An 18588-nucleotide genomic window follows, 5' to 3' on the forward strand; every position below is an offset into this window, starting at 1 on the left:
GGGCACAGTGGCTCACGCCTGTAATCCTAGCAGTCTGGGAGGCCAAGGTGGGCGGATTACCTGACATCAGCAGTTCTAGACCAGCCTGGCCAACATGGTGAAACCCCGTCTCAACTAAACACAAAAATTAGCTGGGTGTGGTGGCACACGCTTATAATCCCAGCTACTCGGGAGGCTGAGGCAGAAGAATTGCTTGAACCCAGGAGGCGGAGGTTGCAGTGAGCCGAGATCACGCCACTGCACTCAGCCTGGGAGACAAGAGAGACTCCATCTCAAATAAATAAATAAATAAAAAAGAAGAAGAAAAGCTATATAAAACATATCTATAGCACCAATTTGGAATTCAGAAACTAATATTAAATTTAAAAGGTCAAAAGAATATGAAGTTGGAAAGCAGAAAAATTTGCTGCAAAATGCACTAAAATTATAAAAGCTTAGAGTACATAAAGGTTGTTGTTATATTAGTAATTAGAAATTTTCTTCAATAAATTTATTTGTAGAAACTTAATTTATATGCACTAAATTCTCATCTTTCTTGAGTGAAAGTAAAATGTTACTCCCAGACAACAAGCATAAAAAACAGAATAAAAACTTTTATATTTGAGAGGTCTGCACTTTGGGGATGTCAGAGGAAGTCATTTGGACCAACTTTATTGCTGAGAACAATTTGAAATGTTGGACAAAAGAACAGTCTGTTTGAAAGCATCTGAAAGCTAGAAAGACTTAACAAATTACAAGGAGAAGAATGAAACCCAGAAAAACAATCCTGGTATTTGGTGCCATTTTCCCCTTCAAATGCCTGTTAATTCTCTAAGAAATGACTGAGAGGCTGAATAAGTAAGCAGAACTCTTAATAAAGTCATAGGGCAAGAAAGACAGAGACGGATTTAGGTCCATTAAGGAGGACAATTCTGGAACAACTAGGGTTTGGCTGGAACCTTAAGGTGATAAGCCCTACAAATAGAACGACTAAGAAATAGATCGGCTGGCTGAAGGACTAAAACCCACCTCATTTAAATTTCTCATTGAATTAAAGTGAATGAAGATTGTTATAGTCCCTAGCCTAGCAGTCTGGCAAAAGCAAACATTAATCCTCTGTGGGAAAGATTACATAATCTAGAACCTCCTAATATTACTATAGATTTTCATAGTCAATGCCTGATACCCAGTAAAAAATAACAGGCATAAAAGGAGACCACGCTGGGCATAGTGGCTCACATCTTGTAATCCCAGCACTTTGAAAGGCCAACAAGGGCAGATCACCTGAGGCCAGGAGTTCGAGACCAGACTGGGCAACATGGCAAAACCCCATCTCTACTAAAAAATACAAAAAAATTGGCCAGGCATGGTGGTGCATGCCTGTAGTCCCAGCTACTCAGGAGGCTGAAGCAGGAGAATCACTTGAACTTGGGAGGTGGAGGTTGCAGTGAACTGAGATTGCGCCACTGCACTCCAGCCTGGGTAAAAGAGCGAGACTCTGTCTGCCTCCCCCGACCCCAAAAAAAAGGGAGACAAAAATCAAAAGTCACATGGGAAAAAAATCAAGAGAGAAAACAAATATACAGAAACAGATCTAAAATGAATCCAAATAATTGAGGCCTCAGACATAAACTTTAAAATAACTAGGATAACTATATTCAAGAACATAAGATTAACAATCTCACAAAGATTTGTAAAGTATAAAATAACCAAATGAAAATTCTAGAACTGAAAAATAAATATAGTAACTTAACTCAAACTATGGGCTAAGAGCACAATAGAGACAGCACATGAGAGAGTTAGGGAAATGGAAGATAGGTCAGTACAAAGTATCCATACTGAAACACAAAATGATGAAAAACTTGCAAACGTTAGAAAAGCAGAAGAGACATCCAGGATAGGGTGAAAAGGTCTATCACAGATGTAACCAGAGTCCTAGAAGGTTACAAAGAGAAGTGAGAGAGAATGGACAGAAGCTAAGTCAAAGAAATAATGTCTTAGAATTTTCCACAAGAGATAAAAAAAAAAAATCAAGTCACAAGTCTTAGAAGCCAAATGAATCTTCAGCATGAGAAATATGAAGAAAACTATATTAAAGTACACAGTAGTAAAACCGTTGAAAACTAAACTCTTAAAAGCAGCCAAAAAAAGAGAGACAGGGAAGGGCACAGTGGCTCACACCTGTAATCCCAGCACTTTGGGAAGCCAAGATGGGCAGATCCCCTGAGGTCAGAGTTCGAGACCAGCCTGGCCAATGTGGCGAGACCCCATCTCTACTAAAAATACAAAAATTAGCTGAGCGTGGTGGCAGGTGCCTGTAGTCGCAGCTACTCAGGAGGCTGAGGCAGGAGAATTACCTGAAACCAGGAGGCAGAGGTTGCAGTGAGCCGAGATCACGTCACTGCACTCCAGCCTGGGCGACAGAGCGAGACTCCATCTCAAAAAAAAAAAAAAAAAAAAAAAAATCTGTCTCTCTCTCTTTTTTTTTTTAAACAGTGTCTTGCTCTGTCACCCAGGCTGGAGTGCAGTGGATTGGATTACAAGTCTGTGCCACAACGCCCGGCTAATTTTTGTATTTTTAGTAGAGATGGGGTTTTGCCATGTTTCCCATGCTGGTCTTGAACGCCTGACCCCAAATGATCCACCCACCTCAGCCTCCCAACACCTGGCCAAAGACAGATAGATGTCCTTTAATGAGCAACAATTAGATCAGAGGTTACAAATTATAACCAATTTGGCCCATCATCTGTTTCTGTATAGCCAGCAAGATAAGAATGATTTTTATATTTATTTTTATTTATTTATTTACTTACTTACTTACTTATTTTGAGACCGAGTCTCACTCTGTTACCCAGGCTGGAGTGCAGTGGGCAATCTCAGCTCATTGCAACCTCCGCCTCCTGGGTTCAAGTGATTCTTGTGCCTCTGCCTTCCGAGTAGCTGGGATTACAGGCCAGTGCCACCATGCCTAGCTAAAATTTGTATTTTTAGTAGAGACGGGGTTTCACCATGTTGCCCAGGCTGGTCTCAAACTCCTGGCCTCCAGTGCCTGCCTTGGCCTACCAAAGTGCTGGGATTACAAGCATGAGTCACCACGCCTGGCCAATTTTTACATTTAAAATGGTTGAAAAATATATTAAAAGAATGTGAGACATTAAAAATGTATGAAATTCAAATTTCAGAGTCCATAAGTGAAGTTTTAGTGGAGCACAACCACATTACTTGGTTAATATGTTGCCTATGGATTCCTTGGTGCTACAATGGCAGAGTGGAGTAGTCACAGCAGAGAGTCCTTATGATCCAACAAAGCCAAAAATATTGCTGCCCTGCCTTTTATAGAAAAGTTTAGACAGATGGTTCACTTCTCCACAGATTGTACATAAGACAGAAAACAATAAATGATACCTTTGAAATGTTGAAAGAATATAACTGCCAATCTAAAATTTCAAACTTACCAAAAATATCCTCCCAAAATGAAGGCCAAATGAAGATATTTTTAGAAAAAAAAAAGAGAAGAGGCTGTGCGTGGTGGCTATTGCTTGTAATCCCAGCGCTTTGGGAGGCCGAGGTGGGTGGATCACCTGAGATCAAGAGATCCAGACCAACCTAGCCAACATGGTGAAACCCCATCTCTACTGAAAATACAAAAATTAGCTGGGCATGGTGGTGCATGCCTGTAATCCCAGCTACTGAAGAGGCTGAGCGAGTAGAATCGCTTGAACCTGGGAGGCAGAGTTTGCAGTGAGCCGAGATCACGCCATTGCACTCCAGCCTGGGCGACGAGAGTGAAACTCAGTCTCAAAAAAATAAAAAATTAACAATATACTACCTTAAAAATAAAGACAAAAAGTACAAGAATACACAGAAAGTGAAAGTTAGCAGATGAAAAAAGATATACTATACAAATAACAACCAAAAGAAAGATGCTGTAGTAATATTAGTATCAGACAAAACAGATTTTAAGGCAAAAACTTTTAAGAAATGAGATACTTCATAACGACAAAAGCCAATTTACCATACAGATAACAATTATAACTTTGTATTTACATAATAACACAGCTTCAAATACAGAAAGAAAAAAATTAAATGAACTAAATAGGAAGCAAATGTATAGTCTCACTAGCAGACTTTAAAAAATCTTTCTCAATTGATAGAATAAGCTGTAAGTATACAGATTTTAACATAATTAACAAACTTAATCTCCTGACACATCTAGAAATTGTACTCAATACTCAATACCTACCTATAGGCTGTACATTTTTTCAAGAGCACAAAATGTTTACAAAATTCTGCAAAGACTGACATAATTCAGAGCATCCTGTCTGACCATAGTAGAATTAAAGTCAACAAGATTGCTAGAAAATTCCCAAATGGCACAAAATTAAGAAAAACATTTAAAAATAACCCAAGGATAAAAGATATCACAATAGAAATTATAAAATATTTTCCACTCAAAAATTATGAAGATGCTACATAAAAAAGTGTGATATAGTTCTGATAGCCCTAAACAATTAGAAAAGAAGAACAGCTGAAAATCAACGATCTAAGTACCTAATTCAAGAGGTTAGAAAAGATCCACAAATTAAGCTCTAAGAATGGAATAAAATAATAAAGAACAGAAAGTAATAAAACTCAAACATACAAGAAAAAGGACTAAAAACAGTAATGTTTTTAAAAGCCAAGTAATGTCAGGCATGGTGACTCACACCTGAAATCCCAGCAATTTGGGAGGACGAGGTGGGAGGATAGCTTGAGCCCAGGAGTTCGAGAACAGCTTGGTCAACATAGTGAGACCCCTTCCTCTACAAAAAATAAAAATCTTAGGTGTGGTGGTGTGTGCCTCTACTCCCAGCTATGTAGGAGGATGAGGCAGGAGGATCACTTGAGCCCAGGAGTTTGAGACTGCAGTGAGCTATGATCACACCACTGCATTCCAGCCTGGGTGATAGAATGAGACCCTGTCTCAAAGAAAAAAAAGAGTCAAGTAAGATTGATAAACTCTAGCAAGACTGAGTAAGACAAAATAAAGAAAACACAAAAAACCAGTATCAGGAATAAGAAGTGGCACATCACTTCAGATCCATACAAACATTTAAATGATAAACCGATAGTATGCCAATAAATTTTAAAATTAGATTAAACGGAACAATCCCTAAACATAATTTGCTAAACTGAAACAAAAAGAAAAAGGAAATATGAACAGTCCTAAGTACTAAAGGCATAGAGGCTATAATTAAACACTTTTCCCAATAAAAGCTTCAGGCCAAGATGGCTTCCCTGGTGAATTCCACTACCATAAAAAATAACTTTCCCTCTCTCACAATTTTTTCTTCCCTCACCATAAGCTAATGATCTTGCCTCACATTTTAGAAACTATGGCAGCTATCATAATAGTGGCCTCAATCTTCCTGCCCTCAACTGACATGCAGGTGCACCCATCTTCTCCACCTTTCTCAGTATTACAACACAGGAGGTGACCTCTGTACCTATTCAAGGTAAATCCCCCTTTCCTTTCTAGATTTTATCTCCTTTAACCCTGTCAAACACTTTAGTCCTTCGTCTTTGTCTTGCAACATCAATGTCTCTCTCTCCATTAAGGCAATCCTATCAGCACTCAAACATGTCATAGCAGCTCCCATTTCAAAAATAAAACAAGTATTTTTTCTTGACTCCATTCTTTCCTTTAGCCACTGCTCCATTTCTCTTTCCCTCTTCGTAGGGGAAAAAAAATCCCTCTCTAAAAAGTTATCTAAAACTATCTCTAATGTCTACTTTTCACTCACTCTTTTAAGTATAAATAATATCTGATATATAAAAATACGTAATTCATGTGTGGATTGTTCATGGCATCATAATAAAATGAATGCTTAAATGAACCAGAATCTATTTCTTTCCATCTCCACTACCATCACCCTAATCAAAGTTACTATCATCTCCTGGATAGACTATTGTAACAACCTTTTAACTTACTGCCTGCTTTATGCCTCAAGTTCAATCTCTATAAACAGGGTTATTTTCTAAAAACCCTGCAGTAGAATCTCTCCATGCTTTGGAACTCACTTAGATCATCTACAAAGCCCTGCACAGGCAGGCTGCTACATCTCTAATCTTATTCTGTACCAGTTTCCCCTCACTTTAGTCACAGCAGCTTCCTTTTGATTTCCAGAACACATGGCATTCTCTGCTGTATCAGATCCTTTGCATTGTTGTTCCCTTAGCCTGGAATACTTCTCTTTTCCTCTTCCCCTTACTGTTTTCTTCTTCTGACCCTTCAGGTCTCGGCTTAAATGTCACCTCTTCAGAAGCTCCCCTGACCACCCTGTTTGAAGCAGGTGTCCTCATCCCACCCCAGTTACTCTTTCTTATCCTCCAATTTATCTCATAGCTGGGAGGTATGGCAACCACCATTTTAGTTTGTTTTTATTTGTTTGCCAAATTATCTATTTCTCAAAATTTAATCTTCATGAAGGCAGGGACCTGGTCCATTTTATTAGCTGCTATAGCCCTTGTACCTAAGCCAGTTCACAGTATATAGATGTATAATATTGATTAAATACATCAATACTATATTTTGATTCTCAACTGCTTCCTTGTTTGTATTAGCAATTAGTTAAAAACCTGGAGGAGAGGTGGTGGGTTCCTCCAAAGTTTCTGTAGCCTTGCAGGTGAAGAAAACTAAATAATGAGTAAATAAGTTTGCCTTAAGAGAAATCAGTGGGGACCCTTATGGAAGCATTTTCAGGTAAATGAGGGAAGAAATGTCAGATAATGAAACAAATGAGAAACATGAAGTTAACTGGAGAAGACAGACCTGAAAGGGATATTTTATGCAAGTTTGAATGAAGAAGAAATAAAATAATAATTACGAAAAGCACGTCCCCAGGAAAGCAGAATAGGATGAGATGTTTCCCAAAAGTGGAGGACAGAGAGAGAGGGAGAGAGAAGATGGGGGTGAGAGGGACAGGCAGTGAGATGGGGGATCTCTTCCTCTGAGACAGCGTTGAACAAATATATCTTCAAAATTATTTCAGATGTTCTGGTGAACATCCCCCTATAGTCTGTTACTTCAAATAAATCCCATCTTCTTGGTTCTGTTTAACTCACCAGGATAGGGAATTCTTGAAATTTCTCTCACCGTCACCCATGGTCCTTTCCCATTCTCCAAATGAGATATCATGTCTGGTTTGGAAACTGCAAGCCCTGTCCAGAGAAAAATAAATAGGATTTGATTGGAGCCATGAGCAAGAACTCCTGCCAAATTCAGTCTCAGTTCTTAATCTTCTGGGCAGAATGACCATTACAGGAAGTTCTAGAGCTGCACTGTCTGATACAGTTGCCAATTGTCACATATGGCTATTTAAATTTGAATTTAAATAAAATCAAGTAAAATCTAAAATTCAGTTCTTCAGATGGACTAGCCAAATTTCAAGTGCTCAAAAGCCACAAGTGACTAGTACCTGCCATATTGTACAGTGATGTTTTAGACAATTACAAAGACATCTCAAAGGAACTCAATGCTATGATTCTGGTTTGGTGGGATAATAGATTGTGGAAATAAACTGAGTTTAGAAAGAAATTGAATACATTTGTTTCTTTCTTCTAGAGGTACTGATAACTTCCATTTAAGGCAGTGACTAGAAAAAACTTTGGTCCAAAATCTGTGGGGTTGTCAACAATCTCCAAGATTCCAGTGAAATGTGTGTTTCTTACTCTACAATGGGCAGATCATGTAGTTAAGAGTGAGGAATAGCATAACCCAACAATGTGCCCCTAAAATCAAGTACTTCAGTTAAGTACTTTAGAGGCCCTTTATCTTTGGCAAACCTGGTCAAATGGGCAGATCAATCAACACAGAAGAGAAGTTATCCTTACCCAGGGAGACCAGATTCCTGTAATTCTCTAGCATCACATCCTTGTGCAGGTTCCTCTGTGTAGGGTCCATCAACCTCCACTCCTCCAATGTGAAGTCTATAGCCACATCCTTAAATGTCACCGATTCCTAAAACAATTACATTGTGATCACTTAGAAACTATACAATTAGACTTGTTAGGCAGAATTATACATAAAAAACTGGGGAAGAGCCCCAGAAACCAGAATCACCAAATGATCATGTAGGTCAACCAGTTCATCCTTTATAGGATGTATAAATCTCTCCAGTGACAAGAACTTGAAACCATAATATGCTGCCTATATCATCTTCAGAGTTTCATCTGATAGCAGAATTTCTTTTCAGACCAAGTCTGGCTTCCTATAAATTATAAATATTGGCTCCACTATATTATCTGGAGTCAAACAGCACGGTTTCCTCCTTCCCTAGAAAGTATTTAAAATACTTGATAACAGCCAGCAGTTTCCATCCAAATCATCTTTCTTCCTTAAAACCCTGGCTTATCTAAAATATCAATTTTCTTTCAGTTCTAATCTATAGACTATGACTTACTAAAAGATACATTTTATCATTTGTATTGTGGATATAGAATATTATAAGCTTTCTCTTTGAAAAAGAAAAATAAAAAAAATCGAGGAACTTTGGGTAAGTTCTTTGGTCTGGATATGTATATGTATTAAAAAATGGAAGAACAGGCCATAAACATTTTCAATGTTACCTATCGGAGAAAAGAGGGAGTAGAGCGGACTGGAATGACAGCTAGACTCCTTTGAATATTTGTTTTGTAGACTTGACTTTTGAACCATGTAAATATATTATAAATGAAATAAAAAATTAAAAAAAAAATCCCTGAAAATTAAGAGTAACATGAAACCAGCTGGTAGCATACTCACTCATTAGAGAGGAACTATTTTGAGTGACTTTGAAACAGTAATTTTTCTGTATACATTGCACAAGATATACCCTGAGAAAAATAACTGCAAAATAAAAACAAAACCACAATGTTTTCAGTAAATAATCATATTAATTACAGTGACAGACATGTTATTGTTTAACTGCTGTGCGTGTAGTGCTTGATAAAGCAAATTAGCATACTGACATCATTGATAACTAATATATTTGGCATGGGAGAAAGAAGATAGAAATGTAATATTGATGAGATGAGGTTAAAAACTCCATAGTTCTGAGTTTGAATAGGAAGTATCACTAGAGATTCATGAAGCATTTTAAGAGAAAAAAAAAAAAAAACACATTTCCTAGCTTCAGCCACTGAAAAGGCCCAGAAACCATAACCAATAAGGTGGCACTATGCAAGCCAGACTGTGGGCTCTAAATATTACTTCCCCCTAAAAGGAACCAGGGCCTAGAATACCCTGACATATTAAAAAGCAAGGAAGCTATGAAAGACTACTAGGGTCATATCTAAGACACAGGAGACAACTTGAAGAGGCTTCCACTGGCCAATGATATGACAATTTGAGCATCAATAAGGATAATAACTGCAATGGATTTCAAAAGCATCTAATACAGTTACATTCATGATACATTATTTTAAAAATCTCATCTATTATCTTTGGAGAATACCTGGAAACTGGTAAGTAAAGAGAAAGAATCAAACTTTTGTCCTTTCTTACCTATGCAAAGTACATATAGTTTGTATTGTAATCAAACATAATTAAATAGTTGCTGAGGGAAGGTTTCTCTTTATGGAAGTATTTTAGCTAATGAATGAAGAAGGAACAAAAGAATTAGAACATCACAATTTGCAACTACTAATGAATTAAAGAATCATCAGCAGCTGCTAACATAAAAGAAAGGCCTCAGTTAGCTAGTATATGTCTTCTAGTGGTATATACCAGCAATATGCAATGACATTGCTGAAAATATTTTAAAAATCAAAAATCTCAGGGCCGGGCGCCGTGGCTCATGCCTGTAATCCCAGCACTTTAGGAGGCCAAGGCGGGCGGATCACGAGGTCAGGAGATCGAGACCATTCTGGCTAACACGGTGAAACCCCATCTCAACTAAAAATACAAAAAATTAGCCGGGTGTGGTGGCGGGTGCCTGTAGTCCCAGCTACTAGGGAGGCTGAGGCAGGAGAATGGCATGAACCTGGGAGGCGGAGCTTGCAGTGAGCCGAGATTGCGCCACTGCACTCCAGCCTGGTACACGAAGAGAGACTCCGTCTCAAAAAAAAAAAAAATCAAAATCTCAGCCGGGTGCAGTGTTGAATAGGAGTGGTGAGAGAGGGCATCCCTGTCTTGTGCCAGTTTTCAAAGGGAATGTTTCCAGTTTTTGCTGGTTCAACATGTGCAAATCAATAAATGTAATCCAGCATATAAACAGAACCAACATAGTGTTGGAAGTTCTGGCCAGGGCAATTAGGCAGGAGAAGGAAATAAAAATCACTAGCATTCTTATACACCAATAACAGACAAACAGAGAACCAAATCATGAGTGAACTCACATTCACAATTGTTTCAAAGAGAATAAAATACCTAGGAATCCAACTTACAAGGGATGTGAAGGACCTCTTCAAGGAGAACTACAAACCACTGCTCAATGAAATAAAAGAGATACAAATGGAAGAACATTCCATGCTCATGGGTAGGAAGAACCAATATCGTGAAAATGGCCATACTGCCCAAGGTAATTTATAGATTCAACGCCACCCCCATCAAGCTACCAATGACTTTCTTCACAGAATTGGAAAAAACTACTTTAAAGTTCATATGGAGCCAAAAAAGAGCCCACATCGCTAAGTCAATCCTAAGCCAAAAGAACAAAGCTGGAGGCATCGCGCTACCTGACTTCAAACTATACTACAAGGCTACAGTAACCAAAACAGCATGGTACTGGTACCAAAACAGAGATATAGATCAATGGAACAGAACAGAGCCCTCAGAAATAATGCCACATATCTACAACCATCTGATCTTTGACAAACCTGACAAAAACAAGAAATGGGGAAAGGATTCCATATTTAAAAAATGGTGCTCGGAAAACTGGCTGGCCATATGTAGAAAGCTGAAACTGGATCCCTTCCTTACACCTTATACAAAAATTAATTCAAGATGGATTAAAGACTTACATGTTAGGCTTAAAACCATGAAAACCCTAGAAGAAAACCTAGGCAATACCATTCAGGACATAGGCATGGGCAAGGACTTCATGTCTAAAACACCAAAAGCAATGGCAACAAAAGCCAAAATTGACAAATGGGATCTAATTCAACTAAAGAGCTTCTGCACAGCAAAAGAAACTACCATCAGAGTGAACAGGCAACCTACAAAATGGGAGAAAATTTTTGCAACCTACTCATCTGACAAAGGGCTAATATCCAGAATCTACAATGAACTCAAACAAATTTACAAGAAAAAAACAACCCCATCAAAAGGTGGGCAAAGGATATGAACAGACACTTCTCAAAAGAAGACATTTATGCAGCCAAAAAACACATGAAAAAATGCTCATCATCACTGGCCATCAGAGAAATGCAAATCAAAACCACAATGAGATACCATCTCACACCAGTTAGGATGGCGATCATTAAAAAGTCAGGAAACAACAGGTGCTGGAGAGGATGTGGAGAAATAGGAACACTTTTACACTGTTGGTGGGACCGGAAACTAGTTCAACCATTGTGGAAGTCAGTGTGGCGATTCCTCAGGGATCTAGAACTAGAAATACCATTTGACCCAGCCATCCCATGACTGGGTATATACCCAAAGGATTATAAATCATGCTGCTGTAAAGACACATGCACACGTATGTTTACTGCGGCACTACTCACAATAGCAGACTTGGAACCAACCCAAATGTCCAACAACGATAGACTGGATTAAGAAAATGTGGCACATATACACCATGGAATACTATGCAGCCATAAAAAATGAAGAGTTCATGTCCTTTGTAGGGACATGGATGAAACTGGAAACCATCATTCTCAGCAAACTATCGCAAGGACAAAAAACCAAACACTGAATGTTCTCACTCATAGGTGGGAATTGAACAATGAGAACACATGGACACAGGAAGGGGAACATCACACTCCGGGGGACTGTTGTGGGGTTGGGGGAGGGATAGCATTAGGAGATATGCCTAATGCTAAATGACGACTTAATGGGTGCAGCACACCAACATGGCACATGTATACATATGTAACAAACCTGCACATCGTGCACATGTACCCTAAAACTTAAAGTATAACAATAATAAAATAAAATAAAAAGAGGGGGAACAGGTTTAAGGGATGTAAACTACTCTCCCCACTTCTGTGAGTATAATGCTTATTATGTATCAGAGACTGCTCTAAGGGCTTATAATGTACTGAATGAATCATCACAATAAGGAAGGTGCTATTTACAAATAAGGAAAGTGAGGCACAGAGATGTTAGATGTCTTGCCCAAAGTCAAAGAAGCAGAAGAATCTAGATTCAAATCCAAGCAGTCTATATTGAGAATTCCAGCTTGTAACCTTGTAATCATTCTGATCCATGATCTAGTAAACTAAGAGCCCTGATTAGCTGACTACTCAGGCAAAGAAGTCAACTTAGATCATATTTGGCTAAGGTCTGTTCTGGATCAGAAGAAAGATTTCCTCTGGGGTGTTTTTCTACCATTTAGATATGTATGCTTGTCATACATGTCTTATGTATATATATATCCCTTTGTAGTTTTGAACCTTTAGGTTTTTGAAGCTTGTTTTAGATAATTCTGCTAATAATAAGACATGGCGAATGTAGGACATGTTGAGTTCATAAACTTTATTGTTAATCACTTGACATGTGTCTGTAACCAATGTACTGGGTTTTGTTTTCTTTCTTCACCAAGAACTCAGCCCCAGGAAAAAATCTGAGAAGGCCCTCATCTCTCATCTATAGCTTACCTTGAGGCTCTGTACAAGCAAGAAATGACTAAGGCAGAGTTGCAACCTGCCTGCCTAAGAGGGAAATGTATGCCCAACACATACAAAGGCCCCTTTGGCAGTCGCTGAAGACTTACTGGTTTAAGGCAAAAAGAAATCTGTCTAATCATTAACTATCACCATGTTAACCAAGCAGATATTTTAGTGGCTATACATGATAAAGAATACAGACTTTACAGATTGGTCCAGGAAAGTTTCTAAACAAAGCAACAGCACCAGCAACAACTGCAACAACAAACCCCAGAGAGGGGAGAATCTGATTTCCAGAGTTGCCACATTATATTATTTAAAATAACTAGCTGGTTTTCAACAAAAAATTATAAGACACACAAAGAAACACGAAAGCATGGACCCATACACAGTAAAAAATAAAGCATCAATGGAAATTACCTCCGAGGAAGTCAAGACATTGTACTTATTAAACAAAGACATTAAGGCAGCTATTATAAATATGTTCAAAGACCTAAAGAAAACCATGTATAAAGATTTAAAAGAAATTGTGAGAATGATATTTCACTAAATAGAAATTTTAGAGTTGAAAAGTATAATAACTGAAATAAATGTACCAGTGAGACATAACAAATTTAAACATATACTCACCTAACAAAAGAGTCCCATAAGACAAGAAGTAAAAATTTATAAAATTGAAGGGGCAAAGAGATAATTCAACGGTAGTAGCTGGACAAAGTGAAAACAGTGCTCAGAGGGAAATTTATAGCTATAAAATGCCTACAATTTAAAAAGAAGAAATCAGTAACCTAAATTTATACCTTAAGGAACTAGAGAAGGAAGAGTGAACTAAATTTTTTAGGAAGCTGAAGGAAGAAAATAATAAATATTAGAATGGAAATAAAATAGAGAACAGAAAAACAGCAGAGGAAATAAAAAAGGGCAAAAATTGGTTATTTGGAAAGATAAAAAAATGGCAAACCCTTAGCTAGAGTGACTAAGAAAAAAAAGAGAGAAGACACAAATTACTAAAATCAGAATGAAAAAGAAGACATTCCTACTGACCTTAAAGAAATAAGAGGATTATAAAGGAACACTATGAACCATGGTATGCGAACTTAGATGAAATGGACAAATTCGTAGAAAGGCATTAACTACCAAAACTGACTCAGTGTACAGAAAATCTGGATAGATCTATAACAAGTACACTTCCCACAAAGAAAAGCCTAGGTTCAAATGGTTTCATGTGAATTATACCAAACATTTCAAGAAGAATTAATACCAATCCTTCACTAACTCTTCCAAAAAATGGAAGGGAAAAATTCCAAACCCACTTTATGAGACCAATATTACCAAAACTAGACAAAGACCTCAGAAGAACACCACAGACCAGCATCCTTATGAATATGGACACAAAATTCTCAACAAAATACTAACAAAGTGGATTCAGCAACAACTAAAATGCCACATATACTACAGCCAAATGGGAATTATCTTAGGAATACAAGGTTTATGTAATATCAAAAAAATCAATCAATAGAACAAAGAACAACAACTGCACATCATCTTAATAGATTCAAATATGTATTTGACAAAATTCAACAAACTAAAAATAGAAGCAAACATCATCAACCTGATAAAGACTCTCTATGAAAACCTACATCTAGCCTCATACTTAATGGTAAACAGCTGAATGCATTCTTCCTGAGATCACAAAGACAACAATGTCCCTTCTCACTTTTCTTTTTCTTTCTTTCTCTCTCTCTCTCTTTTTTTTTGGATACAGGATCTTGCTCATCGCCCAGGCTGGAGTACAGTGGTGCAATTTTGGCTCATTGCAACCTCCACCTCCCCAGTTCAAGGGATCCTCCCGTCTCAGCATCCCAAGTAGCCGGGATTACAGGTGTGTGCCACCATGCCTGGCTAATTTTTGTATTTTTTAGTAGAGACAGGGTTTCACCATGTTGGCCAGGCTAGTCTCGAACTCCTGGCCTCAAGTGATCCACCCACCTCAGCCTCCTAAAGTGCTGGGATTACAGGCATGGGCCACCATGCCCAGACATTCCTTCTCACTTCTATTCAACATTATATCGTACATTTTGCAAGGGAAATTTGAAAAGGAAAAGAAATACAAGGTACCCAGACAGGAAAGGAGAAAGCAAATTTTGATTTGCAAATGATATAATCTCTCTATACAGTTAATGTTATCTTGCATATAAAACCCTAATAAATCCACATATACACAAACAATTTAGTTCTATTAGAATAACCTAGTTCAGCAAGGTTCAGGATACAAGATCTATATGTGTGTGTTTAAGTCAATTATCTGTATACACTATCAATAACTATTTCAAAAGGAAATTAAGAAAAAATTCATTTATAATAGCAAAAATAAGAAAACACAGGAATGAAGTTTTAACAAAAGATGTGTAAAACATGCACACTGAAAACTATAAAACTACAAAACTGAAAGAAACTAAAGAATACATAAATAAATGGGAGGACAATCGATGTTCAAGTATGGAAGACTTAATCTTGCGAATATAGCATTACTCTCCAAATTGATCAACAGATTCAACATAAGACTTATAAAAATTCCATCTGGCTTTTTTTTTCCTGAAATGGAAAAGCTGATCCTAAAATTCATTTGGAAGTGAATTTGTTTTTTTAAAACAATACTGAAAAAGAAGAAAGGTGAGGCACTCATACCTCCTAATTTCAAAACGTACTTCAAAGGTATTTCCAAAACTTAGTTCAAAGCTACAGTGCTCAAGACAGTATGGTACTGACATTAGGATAGACATTTACATCAATGGAATAGAACTGACAGTCTAGGAATAAATCCCTACATTAATGGTCAGTTGATTTTTAATAAGGGTACTAAGACAATGAGTAGAGAATAGTCTTTTCAACAAACAGTGCTGAGACAACTGAATATTCACATGCCAAAGAATGAAGCTGAATCTCTACCTCAGACCATAAACAAAACTTAACTCAAAATGGACTATAGACCTAAATGTAAGAACTAAACTATAAAACTGTTAGAAGGAAAGACAGAGGAACATCTTCATGACCTCCGATTTGGTAATGAATTATTAGATATGACACCAAAAGCACACTAGACAAAAGACAAGAAGAGATCATTAGGACTTCATTAAAATTAAAAACTTCTGTGCTTCAAAGGACATCATCAAAAACTCAAAAAGCCAACCGAAGAATGTAAGAAAATATTTACAAACCATTTATCTGAAAAGGGATTTGTATTTAGAACATATAAAGAACCCTTACAAGTCAAACATAAAAGGACAAATAACCCAATAAAAAATGGGCAAAGGACTTGAATAGATATTTCTCCAAAGGAGATATACAAGTGGCCAATAAGTATGCTCAAGAGAAGATGCTGGAAGTTCTTAGTAATTAGGGAAATAAAGTCTCTAAGATACAGTAAGCTACCACTTCACACCCAATAAGATGTGTATAATCAAAAAAGCCAGACAATATCAAGCGTTGTTGAAGAAGTAGAGCAACTGCAACACTCATACGTTGCTGGTGGGAATGTAATATGGGGCAGCTGCTTTGTAAAACAATCTGACAGTTCTCCAAATGGTTTAACATAGAATTATCATATGATCCAGCAAAATTCCAACCCTAGGTATATACCAAGAGAAATGAAAACACATGCTCACACAAAAACGTATACACAAATGTATTAGCATCATTATTAATTGCCCCAAAGTGGAAACAACTCAAATACTCATCAACTGACAAACGGATAAGTGATATGGATAAGCTATATCCATACAACTGGAATATTATTTGGCCATAAAAAGGAATAAAGTACTGACACATGCTACAACACACATAAACCTTGAAAATATTATGCTAAAATGAAAGCAGTCACCAAGGACAACATATTATATCATTTCATTTATATGAAATGTCCAGAATAGGCAAATCTATACAGATGAAAAGATTAGTGGTTGTCAGAGGCTGTAAGGAGGGGGAATGGAGAGTACTGCTAGTGGGTATGGGGTTTCTTTTTCAGGGTGATGGAATGTTCTGTAATTCCATACAGTGATGGTTACAAACTCTGTGAATATATTTAAAAACCACTGAAATGTATACTTTATGAATTTTATGATATATTAATTACATCTTAGTAAAGTGTCATTAAAAATACTGCCAGAAGGACAATCTTTTTCTTCCCTCCCAGGGGAAAATCAGGTAAATAAATAATCATAAAAAATCAAAGGTTTGTGTTGTGTGAAGAACGAATGAAAAATTGATTGTAGAATGTAGAAGTGTGAGTTAACTTTGAAACATAAAACTGCTGCGACAGTTTGGATGCCTTCCCCCAAAACCTCATGTTCAAAACTGATCCCCATGTTGGAGATGGGGCCTAATGGGAGGTGTTTGTGTCATGGGGCTGGATCCCTCATGAATGCCTTGGTGCCATCCTCATGGTAATGAGTGAGTTCTCCCTCTATTATTAGTAGTTCCCATGAAAGCTGGCTGTTAAAAAGAGCATGGCCCCTCCCCTCTCCCTCTCTTGCTATGTAGTCTCTATACACACTGTCTCTCTTTCCTTTTCACTGTGAATGGAAGCAGCCTGAGGCCCTCACAAGATGCAGATACTGGCAGTATGCTTCTTGTACAAACTGCAGAACTGTGAGCCAAATAAACCCCTTTTCTTTATAAATTACCCACTCTTGGGTATGCCTTTATATGGCAACAAACACACTAAAACAACTTCTAAGAATGTTGAGGGCATTTTGATCTTGTGAAAGTAAATTCACTTAAGTATCCTTTATTCAGAAACTGAACTTTGTCAAACTGAAGAAACTATTACTATAACTAAAGTTTTATTTTTATTGCAAAAAGTTCCTAGGGAGCTAAAAGAGTACCCATTTATTTCAAATTTCACCATCCCAGACCAACTCTATTCATAATTTAGACAAATAAAATTGGAAACCTAATATATAATACCCAAAAATTGTTGATTCTAAGATAATACACTGATGCATACAATGGAAACCAGAAATCATAAGCCTCATATTCTCTACCTCAAAGACACTGGGCAAATAACATTAAGCCAGACTGATGTAAAAGTTTCTTTTTGATAGAGTTCGAGAAAGTAAAAATTAGCTTATACTGAGAAAGTAAAATTCTGCCCTTCCACACCTCAAGCTAGAATAGAGATACAGATAAAACCAACTGACAAGTTAACGGCAAACAATATTTCTTCTAAAGTCATTCTGCAGCTGTAAAATGTCATAATTACCCGTTTTGAGCAACTACTGCTTTCTTACTCATTAGACACCTCATCTTTTAAAGTCATAGACTGTCAGAAATTGTGTAGTCTGAAATCACATCAGAAAGAATGAAAGTGACTTTGATGCTGAGAAGCAGTTATTTGCAACCCAGATGCAGACTTTCACATGAGGGGTTTCTGAATATGTCATTTTACATTTAACTTTGTATTTTCCAAGGAAATAGGACTCCAGATCCATTATGCAGTCTGGACATGGTATTGACTCTTTTATACAGAGCCTATTTTGCTGTAAGCCTATCACATCCCTGATCTCATTAAAATTTCATCAGAATTCCCTCCTTCGTCAAGATTATATAATAACCCAGCTGGGTGCCATGGCTCATGCCTGTAATCCCAGCACTTTGGGAGGCTGAGGTGGGCAGATCACTTGAGTTCAGGAGTTGAAGACCAGTCTGGCCAACACGGTGAAACCCCGTACACTAAAAATACAAAAATTAGCCGGACATGGTGGTGGGTGCCTAGTCCCGGTTACTGGGAGGCTTTTAAAGGCTTATTATCTCCTCTTCATCTTG

General features: G+C 37.4%; 1 protein-coding gene across 5 annotated transcripts in view; it reads right to left on the reverse strand.

The window, feature by feature from the left end:
• The window catches only part of ZNF624 (zinc finger protein 624), a 39604-nt gene that overhangs the window by 12532 nt on the left and 8484 nt on the right, over positions 1 to 18588 (reverse strand). For all 5 annotated transcript variants that reach the window (XM_047436461.1, XM_011523970.3, NM_020787.4 and 2 more), the window contains exons 4-5: positions 7852 to 7978; positions 7084 to 7179 (exon numbers count right to left, since the gene is read on the reverse strand). In XM_047436461.1, coding sequence (XP_047292417.1) covers positions 7084 to 7179; positions 7852 to 7978 — 223 coding nt within the window. The remainder of the gene's footprint in view (positions 1 to 7083; positions 7180 to 7851; positions 7979 to 18588) is intronic.

This window comes from Homo sapiens, chromosome 17 (genome assembly GCF_000001405.40).
Source record: "Homo sapiens chromosome 17, GRCh38.p14 Primary Assembly".
Classification (NCBI taxonomy): domain Eukaryota; kingdom Metazoa; phylum Chordata; class Mammalia; order Primates; family Hominidae; genus Homo; species Homo sapiens.